General features: G+C 35.7%; 1 protein-coding gene across 42 annotated transcripts in view, besides 1 other annotated feature; it reads right to left on the reverse strand.

Annotated features, from left to right (window-relative positions):
* The window catches only part of SOX5 (SRY-box transcription factor 5), a 1,033,147-nt gene that overhangs the window by 207,070 nt on the left and 804,267 nt on the right, over positions 1–21,810 (reverse strand). For all 42 annotated transcript variants that reach the window (XM_024449159.2, XM_024449158.2, XM_047429458.1 and 39 more), the window contains 2 exons: positions 19,065–19,151; positions 4,294–4,466 (listed from right to left, as the gene is read on the reverse strand). In XM_024449159.2, coding sequence (XP_024304927.1) covers positions 4,294–4,466; positions 19,065–19,151 — 260 coding nt within the window. The remainder of the gene's footprint in view (positions 1–4,293; positions 4,467–19,064; positions 19,152–21,810) is intronic.
* Positions 19,858–20,380: an enhancer, noted in NCBI's record as "NANOG hESC enhancer chr12:23909365-23909887 (GRCh37/hg19 assembly coordinates)". NCBI's record gives its function as "activates a minimal SCP1, AML or CMV promoter by ChIP-STARR-seq in naive H9 embryonic stem cells {active_cell/tissue: H9 hESC(naive)}" and the evidence as "EXISTENCE:reporter gene assay evidence [ECO:0000049][PMID:30033119]".

Here is a 21,810-nt window from a genome sequence, read left to right on the forward strand (position 1 = left end):
CCTGGCTGCGCAAAAAAATTTATTTCCCTATGGATGATGGTTTAATTATAATTATTTTAATGCTTTAATTTTATCTTTGGAATATGGTAAAAAAAAAACACATTTTGTTCTTTCTCTTTTTTTTTTTTTTTTTGAGACAGAGTTTTGCTCTTTGTTGCCCAGGCTGCAGTGCAATGGCGCGATCTCAGCTTACTGCAACCACCGCCTCCTGAGTTCAAATGATTCATCTGCCTCAGCCTCCCGAGTAGCTGAGATTACAGGCATGCACCACCATGCCTGATTAATTTTTTTATATTTTTACTAGAGACACGGTTTCACCATGTTGGCTAGGCTGGTCTTGAACTCCTGACCTCGGGTGATCCACTTGCCTCAGCCTCCTAAAGTGCTGGGATTACAGGCGTGAGCCACAGTGCCCGACCTACGATTTTTTTTTTTTCTGAAGAAAGTGGTAAAAGAGAGAGTAGAAGGAAGATTACCTTTTTCATTAAGTCTAGTTCCTTCCTCCCACATAGCAATATTTCAAATGCTATTTAAATCCTTTTAACAGAACTTTAAGAATACTTCAGAACCTGACCACTTCAACCTCCCACGTACTTTCTCCCGTTCACCGTGTCTCTCATCTGGATTGTTGTAATGGCCTCCATTTGCTCCATTTTGCTCCTGCTCCCTATAGTTGATCACAGACCAGCACCCTGAGAGTACTTTTTAAAATATGAGTCCACTTTCAGAGACTGAGGTGGGCAGATCGCAAGGTCAGGAGTTCGAGACCAGCCTGGCCAACATAGTGAAACCCCGTCTCTACTAAAAATACAAAAAATTAGCCAGGCATGGTGGTGGGCACCTGTAATCCCAGCTACTTGGGAGGCTGAGGCAGGAGAATCTCTTGAATCTGGGAGGTGGAGGTTGCAGTGAGCCAAGATCACGCCATTGCACTCCAGCCCAGGTGACAATGCGAGACTCCATCTCAAACATATACATATATATATGTATAGTCATGCTAGTCATCTTTTCAAAACACTTCTCTCTCACTCAGCAAAAAGCCGGTGTACATATAATGCCTGCAAGGCCCTATATGATTTGGTCTCCTGCTACCTCTCTGATTTCATCTCATCCCCTATCACCTCATGCCTGCCACACTGCATTCCTAACTGCCTCTTGTACACACCAAGGATGCTCCTGCCTCCCAAGGATATTCCTGCTTCTGGGCCTTTGCACTTACTTTTCCCTCTTTCTGGAATACTCTGCCTAGACAGCCCCATGGCTCACTCCTACACTTCCTACAGGTTTCTGCTCAAATGTTCTCAGTCAAAAATGTCTTCCCTGAGCACCCATTTTAAAAGAACATATTCCCATAGATAATACCCTCATCTCCAATGCCCTGCATAAGTTTTCAACATAATACTTAGCAACGTACAGTTTACTGGTTTACTTATTGTCTATCCTTCCCAACTAGATTTCAGTACACAAGGGATTTTTGTCTGTTTTATTTCCCCACTCTGCTCCCACTAACTAGAACAAAACCTGGCATCAAATTGGTGGTCAATGAATATTTATCTAATAGATGAATGTGGAATGGAGCTCAGAATCTGGGGGAAAGGCTCATCAGTAAACAGGTCCTTTAGCTTTTGTAACAGCTATACCAGAAGTATTAGAATACATAGAATGGGGACATTCTACACTCAGTAGGGAGTGCTGGGAGGAGTGTCAGAAAAAGACTACAGGAGAAGACGAACCTGCCCTGACCCTTAAATAATAAGTATTAAATGTCTTTCATGAAAAGATCTGCCACCACAGAGTGGTAACTGTGCATGCCTGCCATGTATGGTAGAGAAGCGCTGGGAGAGCTGAATGGGCTCTAGAAACATGACCTGTAGCTATCACCAGGGATCTTCTCTCAGGCTGTGGAGGCAGCACTGCAGGACATCTCTCCAATACAGGAGAGAAATTCTTGAAGAACTTAGGGGTTTGTAAAGTTCCAAGGAGAATGTCAGAGGTCTTGGGAAAGTATTAGAATCAAAGGATTCTAGAATCCTTTTATAATATTCAGGGATGGGCTAGAATGTGAAAGAGATAAGAAAGAAGCTTCCTCTCCATCAGTCATTGCTTAGATCTTTCAGGACATGTGTGCCCTCAGACCCACCAAAGCAAATAGGGGTTATCTACAAAAAATATCCCCAGCCAAGCTACATTTTCTGAAGCTCCTAGGATTCTCCAGAATTCAGTTGACTGAAAGATTGAGAGTTAAGGACAAGAAAAGAGTGGTGTTGTTTTATACTGTTACAGGCAAGCATTCTGAACTCTTTTATCATGGGGATAAAGCAAGAGGCATATGGGCCATACCCAAAAAAAAGCCAAATATATCTTTAATGAAAGTGATTAGGCATTTCATTAAAAATAAAACGAACATCTTTTAAGCAGACATCAACCACCAAGTAGAGAAGAGTACAATGGAAATAAGGGGGTGGAAAAAAGGAGCTCCTCAAACATAAACTGAGTATTTCTTCATGCCATTCAACCCTGCTAGCTTACACTTTGAAAGATGTTTAGAAGGTTTTACAGGGATGTGTAGACACACGAATATTAAATAGTGGCCATCCTCCACCTGGGATGGTGAATGGACTATGCCCAGAACATGGAAGAGGAAAAGGACTTAGCCATGAAAAAGAGGGCCATACTTATCTGTAAGCTGAAACTATATCACCTCCCCTCTATCTTACGTTGTATTTACTACCAATTTTTTTTAACTAATAGTTCATAGGCATTGCCTCCATTTTCCTACTATGTATATTCCAGTTTTTATTGTCTGATTTCGGCTACTAAAACACCATAGAAGCCTTACTCTTCAAGGCCAACAATGAGAATCTAAATGAAAAATCTAGTAGTTTCAATTTGATATTAGAACGATTACTTTTCTATAGCATTTAACACTGTTCCCCAAGACCTCTTAAAATCTCCGTTTTGTTTCCTATGACATTGCACTCCTGGCCCCACTTCCATATCTGATTCTTTCTGCATATGTTCATTTTCCTTTCTCTGCCAGCTATATAAGCCAGTATCTCCCAAAGATCTACCCTTAGTTCCTTTCTGCTTTCTTGTAATATTACCACTGTAAATTAAGGCCTATAAGCCTGCCACATCTCTGCATAAAACACTCCTATCCCCGATATTAACATGGCTGCCTTTTGTATGTCATTTAGATCCCAGCTCAACTGCCAAAGCTTTAGAAAGATCTAGCTGCCCAATCTAAGGAGCATTGCCTTGTCATAGCAATCAACATTTATCTTATTATCCTGTTTATATTTTTTCAAATTATTTATCACTATATAATATCATTTTGTTATCTGCTCCTTTATCTGTCTCTTTCTTTCCACTAATATTTAAGGGCTTTGTCTCTCTGGTTAATTGAGATAGCCTCAATAATTAGTTAGTACAGTGCCCGGCACATAAGAAGCACTAGATTACTATTAGTCAAATAAATGAATGAATGTTATCTCCTCCAGTAGAGTTTAAACCACCATTTCTCTGTAAATAACCTAAGAAACACCTGAGCTCTCTTCCAAAATGCTGACTGGTGTTTCCAGCTGTCTCTCACATACCTCCAACTGGACAACTTGACAGGAACTGTAATTCAACATCATAAAACTACTTTCTTTTCCAAACTTGCTCTTCTGACTTTCTCTGTTTCTGGTGATGGCATTCTCAATCTCCCTATTACTAGGCTCAACTCTTTTCCTTTCCCTTTTGCCTACTCAAAGAATTCTACTAACCATAACTCTTCCACCTGTTTATTCCTTTCATCTCTTTGTCCACGGTCATTACCCTGACTAATTTAGATTCTCACTCTTTTTAATTTAAAGTATTATAATGGCCTTGTAACTGAACTTCCTGCCCCCAGCTGGAAACTCACTTTACTTGTTGAAGCCCACAATTTCTTCAAAGCATATCTCAAATGTCAGCTCTCTAATGAATTCTTTCAAAATGCTTCTTGTTGAAAATGTTCTCTTGACTCTCCATGGTTCTTTTTTGGTATTTTTCTCATGATTTATCAGAATTAACCTTGATTATAATCACTTCTACACTACTTACCACCAAAGTAGTTAATAAGCATCTTAAAATCCGGGTTTTGTCTGTGGGTGGGTTTTTGTTTTGTTTTGCTTTTTTGGCCTTTGAATTTATTTAACTGGGGAGGTGGAAGGGACTCTTATTCATTGTTGTGTGCCTAGGACAGTGACCTATAAGTAGCAGGCAAAGTAATGTCTGAGGAATATGACTGCATCGCTAGTTCTTACTCACTTGTTCTTGTTGCTGCTTGGCCAGCTCCATTTGCTGACGCTGTTTCTCAATCTGAGAGGCAGCTAGTTTCTTCTGCTCATCGTGGGCAGCCAACAGCTGCTCTCGGAGGCTGGTCAGCTGGTTGATCATACCCATGAGTTGCCTTTCTTTCTCAGCTAAGCTCTCGGGAGTCCCTACAAATCATATAGCAATAAAACAGACAAAATAAATGAAAAAAAGTAATTATTTCAATGAAAATGGCTCTGTTGTATACAGAGCCAGTCCAAATATAAAGTTCAATAAACACAAAAGCATTACCTACCTTCTTTTACATTTTCACGCAACAGTAAAAAGTGATGGCAATTTACCTATTACAAAATACCACAATGAACTTGGCTCTCTGGCACAATAGATAGTACATTGGACTTCAAATGAAATTCCATAATGACCAAACATTTTGAATGTTTTTACACTTATGACCAGTAATAATCTATAGTTTTTTTTAACTTTTACTTTATAAGTAAATTTTAAAAATAATGTTGGCTGAACATCTACTGTTTTTAATATTCTATGCTAGGGCCAGCTGGAAATAAAAAGATGTCCCAAGTACAGTTCTTGGCCTTAAGTACTACAGTTTTTCATCTAATTAAGGAGGCAAGACAAAGACACAAAAAACTAATAGCCAGAGTTATTAAGAGGTCAAGGCATTAGTATTAGTGATATGATTCTCCCTTTCTTAAAAAAAAAGTTGAAGATTCAGAATTCTATGTTAAAAGAGAGCAAACATCTATCTAGCCAATCAAGTTTTAGAGCGTATTCCCCATATGCCAATTCAGAGTCTATCTTCGAAAATAAAATACAGTTAACTGAGCAAATATTCAAGTTTGAGAACACAAATATAGCAATTGTGAGATAATGTGGTTGGCAAATTAGCATCACATTATGGTCACGTAAGCTAATACATAAATCCAAAATTTGGAGAAGTCATGGTAATCATTTAAAACACATATTACACTCAAGATATTTAAAACATGCCAATGAATCTTATTAAGTTAAAATTTATATTTAATATAAGAGAAGTATGTGCTGTTCACTGAAAAGGAAACAGTATCTCTTTTAATTGTTCTTTTAGAACTCACAAGATAGACAAGGCCCCTATGATAAAGTACTACCAGTAGGAGAGAACACCCTCTTTAATTACAATTTTCACTTCAAACATAAGACACTAAGCACTGTTTTACTACTGCATTTGCCACCTGTATACATAATTAGATAGAAGGATCTGTTATAACTCAATCACCCTTCTTAACCCCAGTGCATTTCTCCTACCAATTTAGGCTGAAACAGTTTGTTCTATTTTAGGAAGTAGCAGCTATAGTTAGTAGCTTATAATTTTTATATGACCATTTGGAATAGAAAGAAGGGTTCTAACATATTTTACATATAGCATAGAGAAGAAATATTCAGAAAAGAAAATGTGTGAATAAGGCAGTAACCATTTCTTATGCTCTTTCTTATTATCAATGCCTATCCTTATTCAAGGCAGGTAGTCAATAATGTGTTGCTAATAATTTATTATATCTCAGATATTTGGATTCCATCAGAATGAATGAACACTAACTCCATGAATAATAGCCACATGACTATTATATCCTAATATTAAATAATATAAATATATCTTGGGAAGATTTTCTTAATGAAAATATTCATATGCTAGCAAGATAAACATCTTCCTACATTGTTAATAGAGAAGTAAATTTCTACCACATTTCAAGGAATACACACTAGGAATACCAATACACATCATGTCTTAGAATGCGCATAACCTACGAAGGATAATTCTGCTTTTAGAAACCTAGCCCAAGGCTGGGTGCAGGGGCTCATGCCTGTAATTCCAATGTTTTGGGAGGCCCAGAAAGGAGGATCACTTGAGGCCAAGAGTTCGAGACCAGACTGGACAACATAGCAAGACTCCATTTCTACAAAATTATTTTAAAAATTAGCTGAGCATGGTGGTATGCAGCTGTAATCCCAGCTACTTGGTAGGCTGAGGTGGAAGGATCACTTGAGTCCAGGAATTTGAGGTTGCAGTGAGATACACTGCCTAAAAAAAAAAAAATCTAGTCCAAAAATATCATAAGAAATGTGGGTTAATTACTAATTGTTTTAAATGAAATTCTAGAAACAACCTAAATGTCAAATAAGAATAACCAAATAATTATGGGTCATCCATGGTATTTTGTAACCATAAAAAATTATTTTTGAAGAAAATTTAATGACATGGGATCTAGTTTATGATATAAAGCTAGGTTTAAAAGCAGTTGGAGAGAAATGAAACATTTGTATACTCACCTCAATGCATGCACATGTCTATGTTTATAGGAATAAAGACTGAAAGCAAATTTAGCTACATATTAATAGTAGCTATTTCTAAGTGGTGGAATTATAGGTCATTTTAATTTTTTTCTTTTTTCTTTTTTTTGAGATAGAGTCTTGTTCTGTCACCCAGGCTGGAGTACAGTGGCACGATCTCACCTCACTGCAAACTCCGCCTCCTGGGGTCAAGCGATTCTCCTACCTCAGCCTCCTGAGTAGCTGGGATTACAGGCGCATGCCACCATGCCTGGCTAATTTTTTTATATTTTTAGTAGAGACGGGATTTCACCATGCTGGCCAGGCCGGTCTCGAACTCCTGTCCTCGTGATCCTCCCGCCTCAGCCTCTCAAAGTGCTAGGATTCATATTTTTGTATTTAGAAAATTTTTCCACAATGGTTATTATTACATTACTTCCACACTCAGAAAAAACTTATTTCACCTCAACATGCGGAAGTATAAGTTAAAAGCTTAAGCAAATCAGCACATACTCAACACCTACAGTTGGTCCTGCAAAACCCACTTAAGTTAGCCCTCTGCATAGGTGGGTTTCACATTCCGTGAATACTGTATTTTGGATCTGTGTTTGGCTGGGAAAAAAAGTCTGCATATAAGTGGACCTGTGGCATTCTAGCCTGTGCTGTTCAAGGGTCAACTGTATATATTTGGTGATGAGAATTAACAAATATCATTTTGTCATTAAGTATATGAAAGATTAACAAAATTATTTGTTTTCACTTAGTCATAAAGACATAAATAAGATTTCAAATTTAAAACAAAATTTCTAATTTTATAGTCCATACTCAGTTCAAACTTTTTGAACCTTCAGCCCATCTTGCTGCATCTTCAGCATTCTCACATGACTTCCTAGACATGATTTCATTCTATTTCAACTCCTACTTAGCTAACCTTTTCTTCTCAATCTTTTTCACTGACTCCTCTTCTGCCACCCATGAATGCCCATATTCTCCCCAGTCCCATTCTTTACCTTTTCCGTCCTTGAACTAACATGCTTCAAACTCTAAGAACTATATTTCAACAATGCTTTACAGATTTTAACCTCCTGAGTTCTAAAATACATAGTTTCACATTCAATGAAATAATAAGGTACGTGCCAACCCTAAGATTGTCCCCCAGCCCTATTAACCTATTTTTAGATGCAGAATGGGGTATCTCTGAGGGTGTATCTCAGTCATAAAATTCAACATGGATAAAGTGAAACTCACCACTTTCCTGTAATTTTAAAGCATTATTACCAATCAGCATTCTAAAATATTAACTTCTTCAATTTCCTTCTCAACTACCCATCCCTGCATTGATATTAATCAATCACAGTAATTTTTCCTCAAAATAGGTTTGTTTTTCCTTTAATTTTAATGAAAATTATATTTTTCAATATTATTATGTTCATATTAGTAAATAATGATAAAAGTGTATAGTAAAAGATCTCCTCCCAACACTGTCCCTTCAAAGGTAACCACTATTATTATTTTTTTGTGTGTCTTATCCTTGATAACACAGATTTAAGCATATACAATAATATTTCAGTATTAGTTTGCCAGGGCTGCCATAACAAAGTACCACAGACTGGGTGGTTTAAAAGACAGAAATTGCCTTACAGTTCTGGATGCTAGAAGTCTAAGATTAAGTTGTCAACAGGGTTGATCTGTTCCAGGCCTCTTTCCTTGGCTTGCAGATGTCTGTCTTCTCCATATGTGTTCACATCGTCTCGGTCTGTACATACCCATGTCCAAATTTCCTCTTCTTATAAAGATACCAGTCATCTTGGATTAGGACCCACCATAATAAACTCATTTTAATTTAATTCCCTTTGTAAAGATCCTGTCTCCAAATACGTTCATATTCTGAGGTTCTAGGCATTAGGACTTCAGCATATGAATTAGGGTTGGTGGGTAGGGGAAAGTGCGTAGTTCAACCCATAAGAATGCCTTTTACGCAAATGATAACATAACATAAATACTGTTGTACTGACTTAGAGAGAGCACTTTTTCCATCCTGCCTTCTCTATCTTCACTGCCATTTTTGTCATCTTTTTTCATGAATTTTTGTAACAAATTTTTAAAATAGAACTTTTAAAATAGAACTTCCTGTCATCAATTGATCTCTGTACAAATCTATCCTCTAAAACTGGTACCAAAATTACTTTCCTAGATAACAAAGTCATATCATGTCAGAGTCTAGTCCTGTCATTTCCCCTGTTTAAAGACCTCCAATTGCTCCCCATTGGCTTCAGAAAAAACTGTCAAGTCATTATTGCGAATTAACGAGGTCCTTCAAAATATCACCTACTTGTCCCACTTCCTCTGTGCATCCTAAATTCTAGCCACACTGAATGTTCTAACATTATCCCACCACCACCACCACTCTGAGCACTTGCAAATGCCATCCTTAACAAGTGCCTTGCCTGGGCCAGTCTCTCCCTAAACATTCATTCTTCATGCTCCAGCTCATGCATCTTGTTTTTTGTGGCTCTTTTCCTGATTTCCACGGATAACATTTGTTCTCTTCTTTGGGAATCTACACAGCATATGTGTAGATCTTTATTATAGTATTGAATCATTGCATTGTATTATCTTATGTTCACATTTTTCTCCCAAAGTCAGGAGAGGTAGCTGCAATAGCAGCAACTGTAAATGATGGACTTTTCTATCCTCATTATCTACTACAGGTAACGGTAAATAGCATATGTATTGCATATAGAAAATCATCTAACACCGTTTAATGAATGACATAAAGAATACAGCCGCTTCCCTTTAAACCATTCTCAAGTTTAAGCATGCATAGGAATTCTAGTTTTGGCTTAAGAGAGTTGAGCCAAAAAAATAAGCTTTTGCAAAAGAAATCTTCACCATTTTTACAAAAGTACTAAACTGAGATGAAGAAGTCCATCCCACGGCTTCATCTCTAAATTATCACATTCTTCATGATCATCCCCAAGTGCTTAGAGAGAACTTAATAAGTGGTCTGTGAACAGCGGAGAAAGTAGCAAGAGTCACAAGACATCCTTGACTTTAAAAAAGTGGAAGGAATATTAACTAGATCCTTGGAGTACTCCAGAGGCCTCCCAGCAAAAAGGAGCTACTCTTTATTCACCTAGATTCAGGTTTTTAAGAGTCATAACTTATATATGTGTGTGTCTATATAGTGTATAACCCTATGGAGACACAGTCATGTATATATGAACTTGCTCCATCTGAGTCAGATAGCTAATGTCATGAGTTCACTTGTGTGTGACTGATAGTAATTTATTTTCATGTTTCAGTTATTTGCATTCTTGTATGTTTTTAATCTATGCTAGTCCTGTTCCAGTCCCCTTAGAATGAAAGATAACTGAAGTAAGACACAAAAATATTGTTTCAGTCTTCTTCCTGCCTAAAAACTGCAGGCATAGCAGTCATTTATACTTCTGTATTCCATAAAAGCAGCACATGTCAGATGCCTTAATATAATGAGACAAAGTCATGAGGGAAGGGAACCAGCTTCAGTCATCTCCAGCTCAGCAAAAGACATCATGATCTCATATGGTTTGGCTGTGTCCCCACCCAAATCTCATCTTGAATTTAGCTCCCACAATTCCCATGTGCTGTGGGTGGGAGCCGGTGGGAGGTAATTTAATCATGGGGGTGGGTCTTTCCCGTGCTATTCTCGTGATAGTGAATAATTCTCACAAGATTTGATGATTTTATAAAGGGGAGTTTCCCTGCACTAGTTCTCTTCTCTTGTCTGCCGCCATGTTTAGTGCCTTTCACTTTCCTCCATGACTGTGAGGCCTCCACAGCCATGTGGAACTGTAAGTTCATTAAATCTCTTTCTTTTGTAAATTGCCCAGTCTCGGGTATGTCTTTATCAGCAGCGTGAAAACAGACTAATACACCATCCATACATTGCTTAGTCAAAATCCAGGTGTTCATTTTTTGTCTACCTCATCTTCCCTATATAATTCATTGGAAATTGATCAACCCTAGAACATATTATAAATCAGTCTCTGTATCTCATTTCCACTATTACTCCTTAATCCAGGCCACTATCATCTCTTGCCTTTACTACAACAATTGCTTTCTAGTCATTGTCTCTATTTCTACTTGTTTCCTTACTAAAATCCATTCTCCAAACAAACGTTCATAGTTATCTGCTTAGAAAGGTAAATCAAGTCATGCCATATGGCTGTATAAAACTGTTTCAAAGCTTTATTCTGCACATGGAATAAAATGCAAACTCCTACCCTTACAAAGCCCTGAATGGTGTGGCCCTTGCCTTCTTCCCTGACATTATCTCTTCCCGTTTTCTCTTTTGTCAATATGCTTCTATGAGTTCCTCTAATACCAATATGCAAACTTGCTCCCACCACAGGACCTTTGAATGTTAACTTTTACCCTCAGAAGACTCTTCGCCCAGACCCAGGTTTCTCAACCTCAGCGCAGTTGACATTTAGGCCAGACAATTTTCATGGGGAGTGGTCTTGCCTCCATCTTCTAGATGCAGGTGGGACCCTCACTCCTAGTTATAATGCCCCGAAATGCCTCCAGACATTGTCAAATTCCTCCTGGTGGAGCAAAATCTTCCTCTTGAAATGACTGGCTTTTTTCTTTAATTCATTCAGCATGTGTTCACAGGGCAGCTCCCATGTGCCTCATACTGTTTTTAAGTGTTGAGGATACTAAGAGAACAAGCCAGAAAAGAATGCATGCCTTCAGATAGCTTAAATTTAAATGAAAGAGATTAAAAAAAAAAAAAAACGAATACAATCAAATCTATCCAAGGTAATAACTTAAAAGTCCAGCTCCTCGGAGGGCCTTCGCTGACCACTGGAATTATAAAAGCAATCACATCTCACTTTCTATCACATCACCCAATTTTTATACTATAGTAGTTAGCATTATATGTTATATTCTTATTGATATAGTTATTTATTTATTGTATCTCCCAGTAGAGTATAAGCTTTATGGTAATAGGACACTATTATAATTTGTTTTGTTCAACACTGTATTTCCAGTATCTATAGAATAATACCTAACAACATAGTGGATACCTTTATACAGATATATGACCATTTGTTGAGTGAATAAAATAAATAAACTTAAGAACAAAGAAAAGTCCTTGATTAGCTGATAATGTACAATTTTATGCACAGGAATGACCCTCATCAGGGTTGAATTAAAGATGATCTCAAAAACATCGAAATAATAAGAAAAAATACATGAAAATTGCTATTTCCCCAATATTGTTTTACTCCACACAAATGAAATAGATAAATGGCTTGAAATCAAATCATCAAAATCAAAGTAAACCATTGGGAACTATTGTCCAAATAAAGAAAAAGTACAAGTAAACTCACTTTAGAAAAAAATGTCCTAGAAGTTTAGAGCTAAAAATAAACTAATTACGTTTCTTCCCTCAAAAAACTTACCAAAAATTTAATTATTTGTTTCAAAGTGAAAATCTGTGCCAGGGTGGTTTGTTTGTTTTACTATTTGTGTTTGTCAGACTACTAGTGTTACAATTTGAACAAGACTTTACTTAGTTTAATTTTTTTATGGAAATGTCACTTTCAACTGGTATTCCACTTGAAACATCTAAAAATCATTCATTGTATTGCCTTTTAATATTCCGCCTAATGAAGAACTACTACTAGGCTATAAGCTCTAGGAGGGCAGGAATCTGTCTACTAAATACTAATGGTATTTGCTACCATTATATCTCCAGAGCTACCACATGGCAAGACAGATAACAGCCTTTGTTGAATAAACTGAAAATAACATGAATAAAAACTAAGTTAGTCTAAATTTATAATGGAAGCTTCTTTCAGCAGCACTCTTATCCAACAAAAAGAGAAAAGGTAGACCTCCCCTCATCAAAAAGGCTAAATAAAAATGGCACTATTACAGCTCATAAAAGGAGTATTTGTTAGGTTATCCTACATGCAAACATCTATTAATTAGTTCTTTACATTAAGAAAGAATTTAATCAGACTTTGACAAAATTTAGCTACATATTCTTTACTGCAATATAGATACCCGTCAGAAGTTGGAATCAATTAAAATTATGTAAGGAATACTATAGTTCATTACATGACTGAGTATAAATTAATTGACATCTTCTTGTACCCTAATACTATAAGTATTCTTACCTTTTTAAATATGTTTATGATTTCTTTTGACATGATAATGTTGTTGTTTTTGCTTCAGTATCTTAAAAGGTGGGCCTTGGCTTAGATTTAAATATATCTAATGTGGAAAACTTTCCATGTTAAGGGTGACACCATTAGAGTGAATAAAATAATGAACAAGTAGCTATAGTCTTCACCACTGTTGCCCCACGGTAGATGTTTTGTTTCTGGGACATTATGAAAGAGATGTACGCATTATAATTTCTATAGTGAGTGAAAGGGTTATTCTTGTTACCTTTTTAAAAAAGTATTGCTCTATAAAACATATTATTAAAAAATGTTACCTTTTAATGGAGACTGTAATTTTAGGAACTTTTTCCAAAACTATTCCATCTACTTACTTATTGTACTTGAAATATAAAAACCATTATTTTAAAATATCACATTAAATCTGCTGCATTTGGAATGTAGTCAATAATAGTTATCCCAAAACATGGCATTTTTCACTTGTCATTCCTTCCTCAAATATGCACTACATTCCAAACTTTGAGCCAACAGAATATTAGGTAGTCTACAAGGGGCTGGTCAATATGTAAACAGGGAAAAATACAAAACTGAGTGTGTGTGTGTGTGCTAGGGACAGATCTAAGGACGGAGTATCTTGGATGCAAATTATAGAAGTTCTTCATCCAGGTTTGGTAGGTCTAGAAATGTTCTCCAGTTTTAATTCTAGATTCTAGAGATCACCCAGTCAAACTCTGTTGAAGACAGGCTGCTAAGCATTACATAAAAAAACACAGGCCTTAAAGGCAGTGAGAAGTTAAGTTCAAATTTTGACTCTGCCACAACTAGAGTATGTGGTGTCTGATAATTAATTTCTGAGTCTCAATTTTTTCATATGTAAAATCAGAATTAAATAATGTTGTCACAATAATTTTGTAAGAAAGATGTTTACGCAGTGCCTGTAAGAAGATGTTCACTAAGTGGCAGGCAATAAATCATAATCGGCAACTTTTTAAAAATGAGTAGATGAGGAAATAAACCAAAAGTGGTAGCCCAATTTCCACAAGTACTTGGAAGAATCAGTCCACATAACATCAAATCACTGTGGCTACACCATGCTTTCCTAGTAAATTTTAGTACAAAACAGGAAAAGGTTTTAGGTTAATTGCATTACCCAATAGTCTGGAGAGTATTTAAACAAGCTTTGGAATTCATATCTACAAGAAAACAAATAATGTGTTTATAATTATTTTAATTTTAGAATCTTTATGCTTCTCAAACAAGCAATTTTTTTAAATGAATGAATGCATTTTTAAATGAGAAACATGTTGAGGAGAGTATTTTTTCCAATATAAAGCCCAGATTAAATATGTAAGAGTTTAGTATTTGATTAACCTTATGTTTAAAACACACATTATTAAGTACCTTAAAAAGTACAAAGTATATAAAATTTCCTAATTGTCAACTGGACTGTCAATATACAGCTCAATTGAGATACAGTGACCTATCCTTTTCTTCTGATCACTAGCTGTATTTACACACTGGCATGAGGACACCGGCGTCATGAGACGGAGCAAATCACTGGTTTATAGAAAATGTACTCACTCTTTGCTTTTATAGACATTGTCAAACTTATTTTGAAAACTTATATTCTACGCGCCAGCAGTCTTTCTTTAGTTCTTGTGAAATAGTTTTTACAAAAAGTGAAAACATTACTCATAAGCAACTACAGAGGAACTATAAAACAAGCTTAGTTAGATTAAAAACATTAAACATTTACTTTATTTAGAAGTAAATGACTACATGTTGTGTACCTTCCTTGTGGCTGACTCTTGTATTGAACAAATTCCAGATCCAACAGTTCTCTCAGAAAATAATAAACATTTCCAACCCCTTTGTAAAAATGTGCAGATATGCATGTTTTAGGTTAATGTACAAATGTAATAATAACAAGATTACTATTCGTAAACCACATGATTCTTAAATCTTTACTGGATTTTAAAAGAACATGTTTGAAACAACTTTTGAAGTGATATAAACCCTTACATATTGAAATGCTGAATATTAGTTTCCATGTTTTAAATTTATAAAACTTATAGGATCCCTTACTAGATTTTTTACCTGGGATCTGATTCCTATTCTAAGCCTGCTTTTTTCAAATCATCTAATGTTATTTAGACGTAATTATCCCTTTCAAGCCACTGACTGACTCTATACATCTTCTATCTCAAACATTTACATGCCACCTAAAAGATTATCTACTTTCATCCACACACTGAATCTACAGAATCTACATTGCCCATGTCTTTAATTCATGAGCTCTGAAAGGCTATAGTATTGCTGAATGGATTATCTCCTTGAATCCCTTATTGGCAGTTCTAGAAGTGTTTGGTGTTTGCCTTTATAGCCCTTCTTCTAGAATACACAAAATTATAGCCTTGCAAAAGAACCAGTTGTTGAATTACATCAAATGCCCCTGGCACTTTTGCTAAAAACAGATTCAACAGTTTGTGGGCCTGAATTAATGCACCGTGACCAGGGTCAGAAGAATCCATCAGAGATTCTAAGGGGAAACAAACCAGGCTCTAAAAAACTCTTGAAATAAGGCAGGTAGAGAAACTGGTCTAGAATTTTTGTTAAATTCTGGCACTTTTGTTAAAAACAGATTCAACAGTTTGTGGGCCTGAATTAATGCACCGTGACCAGGGTCAGAAGAATCCATCACAGATTCTGAGGGGAAACAAACCAGGCTCTAAAAAACTCTTGAAATAAGGCAGGTAGAGAAACTGGTCTAGAATTTTTGTTAAATTCTAGCACTTTTGTTAAAAACAGATTCAACAGTTTGTGGGCCTGAATTAATGCACCGTGACCAGGGTCAGAAGAATGCATCAGAGATTCTGAGGGGAAATAAACCAGGCTCTAAAAAAACTCTTGAAATAAGGCAGGTAGAGAAACTGGTCTAGAATTTTTTAAAGTGACTTGGCCAGAGAACCTCCCGTACACAGCTCTGCTTTTATCAAGATAAAAACAATTGAGAGTATTTTGCATGCAGATATTTGTGTTATAATTCTACAAATAAACATTAAGTCAGCAAAATACAAATTTTGCAATTACTTTGTTGAAAAACAAATGATCTGCTTAGATTAGTTAAAGCCGACATGGATCCCCAGATACTATCCTCAGGTGAGGTACCAATGCAATGAATGACCTTCGGTGTAATGGAATTTCATGCTAGCTGAAATTGTGTGTGACTATTGGTTGCCAGCCGGAGTAAAGGCATTGTTTCTCCCTCCGCACTCAATAACTATGAGACTCTAAAAGGTATTTCTTCACCTTTCACATTATTGTTACTCAGTGCTTCTGCTATAGATAAGGGCAAAAGAATCTGTAAACTGACCAGTTATACTACATCGCTTATAAGTAAAGAAGAAACAAATACTTCTTTTGGGCAGCTAATCAGTTTATAGCATATATTGACTGTTGTTGGCAGAACTTTTCAGTCAAACTGTTTTGTTCTGCAAAACCAGATCGAGTGTCCTTTTTACATGTTTGCTAGAGGATTGTTTCTAATGTAACTTTAAAACCTAATTCACATTTCCAAAGTACCAGAGCATAAAATGGCATGAATTCTAACAGGTAAAATAATCCAACATGAAAAATAACTTTATGCTCTTAGAAGTAGGTGACCTTTACTAACTCACATTGTTTCTTGAAAAATGAGATTGACTTTAAGTGGGCATGACAACCATTAATTGATAGCTAAACTCTCCAAATCAAATGCTATTCATTTTTCCTATTTTAAAAAGTCTATCATTTTTTACTTTTTGAATATTAATAGTAAGAAACACTTCTCTAAACCCTTCCAAGCTATGATTGTAATATTTGTCCAAATGCTCTGAAACTAATTCACTGATAGGAATTTAAAACAGCACTTAAAAACAGAGCTCACTTCTCACTTGGCTATAGTATGAAATATTCAGAAAAGGGAAAAGGGCACACACACACGCACACACTTATTCACTCACACATCTCCTGGAACTAATTAAAAATTAAATGCAAACTGGCTAATATAAATGGAGGAGAAAAGTTTCCATGCACACCAAGACTCTGTGAATACTGTAAAGGCTGGAAACATCCTAACATATGCAAAGGTTCTATTTAAATACATTATTTTAAATTAACCTTCATAAATAACAATTCAATACATTCATATTTTCAGATTTTAAAAAAAAGATTACTTATTGTTCCCTCCCTCAACTAAACAAGTATACGAGAGCATAAGACTTACATCTTTATTTGCCTCAAAAAATAACTTCCCAAACAACTACGCCACTGTTCTTGTCTAACTTCTGAAGCGGCAGGAAAACTACATTCCTGGGCCCTACATAATCTTTGTGCCTGACCCCAACAAGAACCTTTAAATCAAATTCACTTACCCCCAGAGGGCAACACACTATTGTATCCTCTCCACTTTCTAGCCACCTATGAACAATGGATAGTAATTGCAACTGTCATGGGCAGTCAGTAGGAAAAGTAACCCAGTGCTGTTTTCTAGGTTTACTGCCAAACCTGAGTTGAACACCTAATAACCATGCCCTGAACAGAAGAAAGACCTACAGTTGCTTTTAAAATGCATCAGAAAACAGTGTTTTGAACAGAACCAGAGGACAATAACCTAACTTATACTCTGAATGTGAAGCTTAAAAAACTCAAAATTAAAGACAGAAACTTCTTTTGTGATTGTACTGTAGCTTCCTAAACTAACCCCCAAGGCAAGCCTGAAAGGGACAGCTGAGCTTTCCTCTAAGCTTGTCATCACTGCTGTTGCTGCTTTTAAGTTTGACTTGTGAAGGAAAACGAGGGAGGGGAAAAAACGTTTGTCCTCCATTGGAATGAGATCAGAAGGCTTGGAAAAGGCAGTCTTCGCTGCTCTACTCTGAGTTATTACCTAGGTCAGAGGAGAATAAAAAACCTTGGAGAATGCATCTTATGCCTCAGGGGTAAATGGGTTAAAATCCATCAAAATAATATCAAGGACCTGCCGCCTCTGAAGATGAAAACTTCTCAGTTCTCCTTAAACTTTCTCTTCAAGCTCTTTAAGGCATATTGATTCTCATTCATTTGAATTTGATTCCATTGTAGATTTTGGTTACTGAATTTGTTGATTAGCACCAATTCATTTTCTCATCACCCTTTCACAAGTAATCATAGCCTAAATACATGTAATTCCAAATGATCTGCATGGAAAGTGAAATATTCAGCCAAACATTTTCCGGAAGTTTTTAGATATCCAGATGTTCATGTCATGTAGGCCAAACATTTAAGACTGATGCTTTGCCTTTCTCCAGGATACACTGATGGAGTAAAGCCTTAAGAGAGAAAATTGCTTCTGTCATTGGGAAAACACTTGCACGGACACACATATGCAAAAAAGTTATTTATACACCTATTTCTACATGTATAATAATATAAATCTAGTGATGTCTTAAATGTATATTCAGCCTCTACCAAAAATGTACACAGTAATATATAACTAAATATTTTATACGGATGACTAAGTATCTTGATTTTCTTAAAATCCTACTGTAGAACTCAGAATCTTAAGTGTCCTACTAGCAACAAATAGAAAACTATCATAGATTGCCTACTGTGTTTTGAGAAAACATACTTTTAAATTAATTGAAAGGATAATTTGCTTTTATCTTATATGAGGAAATTAAATCTTCTCCCCTTGTTATTAGTAGGAGTTTATTAAGATATGAATAGTTTTATAGAACTTTTCTTAGCTGGATGTAATTGCTGATTCAAATAAAACCAAAACAAATTGTTACCTTGACTGGTACAAAACAACCTTTTATTATGCTCTCCCCTTTCATCATTTCTGGTTTTAAATTTAGGTTCTACACACCCATATTTCTTATATGTACAATGTACAAAATCTTATAAAATACAGTTTTTAACCTTGCTATAGGTACATTCTTACTTATAAAATAATTTAATTTTTGAAAATAATTTAATTTAATTTTAATGATGAAAATCAGAGCCTGTTAGAGGTATAGTGGGGTGATTCTGTTGAAAACAACATATCATTTATTCCATAAGGCACAAACAAAGAAAGAATATAAGAACCCTGCTACATCCTCCTTCAAGATAGAAAGAAGAAACCCTAAACACAGAGAATGCAAGAAGCAGAAGAGGTGAGGGCAGAAATACTTTATCACCATTACTATTTCTGAATATCAACTTCATTTTGGTACATTTTGGATAAAAACAATCACACCATATTACCTTTTATTTCGCCAAAGTTCCCCGATCCCATTGCAAGAAGCTTGTCTTTCCAGTCCTTTGAGAGTAGTTTTTCAATACTGGGGGTTTCTAAGTAAAGAAAAAAAGAAGTGAGCAAATCAACATGACTCTCCTTACAATGGAGCTCATTAAAAGTCTATCTGCTAAAAATAAGGCCATCCCTATCCCAGCCCCACTTCATAATGGCTTCATCAAAAAACTGATAACAGGGGTGGAAAAAAAGAATGTGTCCTGTCACCTGCTGTTTCAAAATCATTAGCTTTTTCCTCTTGCGGAACAAAGCCATACTGATTCTTTATGACAATGGGTACACATAAACCTTGCGGTTCATTGTTTTTCAATTTAGTGAACAAATTCTTGCTATAATGGATGCTTGTCAATTTCAGGGTGTTAGTCTGCAGTCAAAAAATAATTATGTTGATAAAATGCGGAGTAAAAAAAGGCAAAGAATTAGCTCTTAAATCTGCTACATGTAATTATATCCCTCTGTGTGTTTACAATTACATCCACTTTATAATATGTGTTTAACATCGTGTGGCGGTAAGCACACTGTGGTAAGATTTGCCAGTACTGCGAACATAAAAAAAAACAAAAAAAAAATTGGTATAAAAGAAGCCTTAAAAAGATTGGAAAATCTAGAGAAGTGAGGAATGCTGCCTATAATGGAAACCTATTATTTGCTTATTTCAGATTTGTATCACACTCTTTTAAAATGCCCTGTATTCAGACAGGGCACACACATTTTAGAAAGCAAGGTGCTGCTTTAGTCTGGTATTTGTTTCTACATATAACATAGGTTTTGACCTTTCCTTTTGTGTTGAACTTTAATGTATAAGTAAATATAAATGCCAATAAAAACTCCCAAACATTAAACTCAGTTTCAAACAATATAATTGTATATTCTTGTCAGCACTTAGATGGATACACAATTACAATGGCTTTCAATCCCGTGATTAGCGCAGCATTCACTTAGAAGATGGAATGTACTAAAAGATAAGTGTCCCAGTATGCTCCATCTAAATAACAATACCCACACTTATTATATAGATCAAGGACATACACTGCCATTCTCCACATTGGTGTTTATGTGTATGTGTGTTTGTTCAGGCATTTGTTTACTCCCTACTAGGAGCATAAAGGGAGTACATGTTAACTTATCAAAGGGACCGTCTGGCCTAGAGACCGTAATATTATTAGAAACTGGTTAATTTTCCCCACAGTAAGATGCATTTTAGAGAGTTTTCATCATCACGTTTAGTTAATGCTGTCTACTTTTTCCAGGGCCCCATCTTTACAGCGATCAGCTAGCAGAGTCAAAAAGCCTGTGTGGAGTTTTCAACAAAGCAGAGGTGCAATTTTCCTTGGAAAAAAAAAGTAACAATATGGAACACTTCTGTCTCACATGTCAGAAACTTGTGGAAAATAAAATGGTGAAAAGCTCTGAATGATTACTCTTTTACATAGTCTATATGTATACATATATACATATATGCAAATATGTATATGCCCTTACAACAACTTCATAAATGCACATTTACCTACGGAATGAATTTGAAATGAATGAATGCAGTTGAAATGAATGAATGAAAAATGGATTTTTTCCCTCAGAACAAAATACATAGCTCTATTTTTCACATTTAAGGAACTAATACCGAAAAATTTACTTTTAAGTTTTCTTAAAATATCCCAATTTCTATATGGTATTGGTTCAGAATATTAACAGCAACTCTAGGAGTCATAAAACAGAGTAAATATCTTCATATTATAACCAGCATTTCTCTTCATTGACGCTTTAAAAGTAACTTTGAAATACTTCCACAAGGACTTCCAACATTTCTACATTCCCAGTAAACAGTTTGAGAGTAAAATTATTTCTTAAACCTTATCAGAGTAGGTCAAACAAACACCACTGTCTCTTTTTTCCAGCACTCTACAAAAATTCTTGAGTAGCATGTAAACAGGGCACAGCCAATACGGTATTTGCAATAGAGTACTGTCAGTCATTAAAAGCTAACAAACCTTTGCAAAGCAGGAATGCAGCAATAGAAATCCATTGTGCACTAACAATAGGCCCCTGAACCTCCAGGCACCAAAAGCAGACCATTTTACTTTTAAGGCTATTGTCTGCAAAGTCCATGACAAAGCTTTTCCCCTGCAGCTAGACAAAATATTCACTGTAGTGTGCTCATAAAGAAACAGAAGTCTTCTGTCTAAGTTGCAGAGTTAAAGAAACAGCAGCCAGATTTCTGAAACCTGCAGAACATTCCAGGCCTCTTTATTAACTAGCATAAAGATATAAGGCTGGTAAACAGAGCCAGTTTGTTCAAGTACTTGACTTTTAAGCACACACTACAAAAAAAAAAAAAAAAAAAAAAAAAAAGAATAACTTCTTTAAGACTAAGTTATTTTGAAAATGTAAAATCAGAAACATATCTAAATCACGGTTGTCATGTCTGTGGATGAATAAAGACACTCATACTTACAACTTAGATGAGGTATATACTTTAAATTCAGATTCAAATACATTTATTTAGCAGCCTATGTGCCAGAAACTATGCTAGAGGTTTTTATCTGTATTCTCTCATTTAATGGTAATAACCAAATGAAGACTTAGATCATGTAACATCCATGTTACGGGTTTAAAGAGATGAAGCAGCACCAGCAAAAAGAAAAAAGAGAATTGCTCTGAGGTTCCACAAAATGTAATGGGCAGAATTGAGGTCTTGAA

Source organism: Homo sapiens, chromosome 12 (genome assembly GCF_000001405.40).
Source record: "Homo sapiens chromosome 12, GRCh38.p14 Primary Assembly".
Classification (NCBI taxonomy): Eukaryota; Metazoa; Chordata; class Mammalia; order Primates; family Hominidae; genus Homo; species Homo sapiens.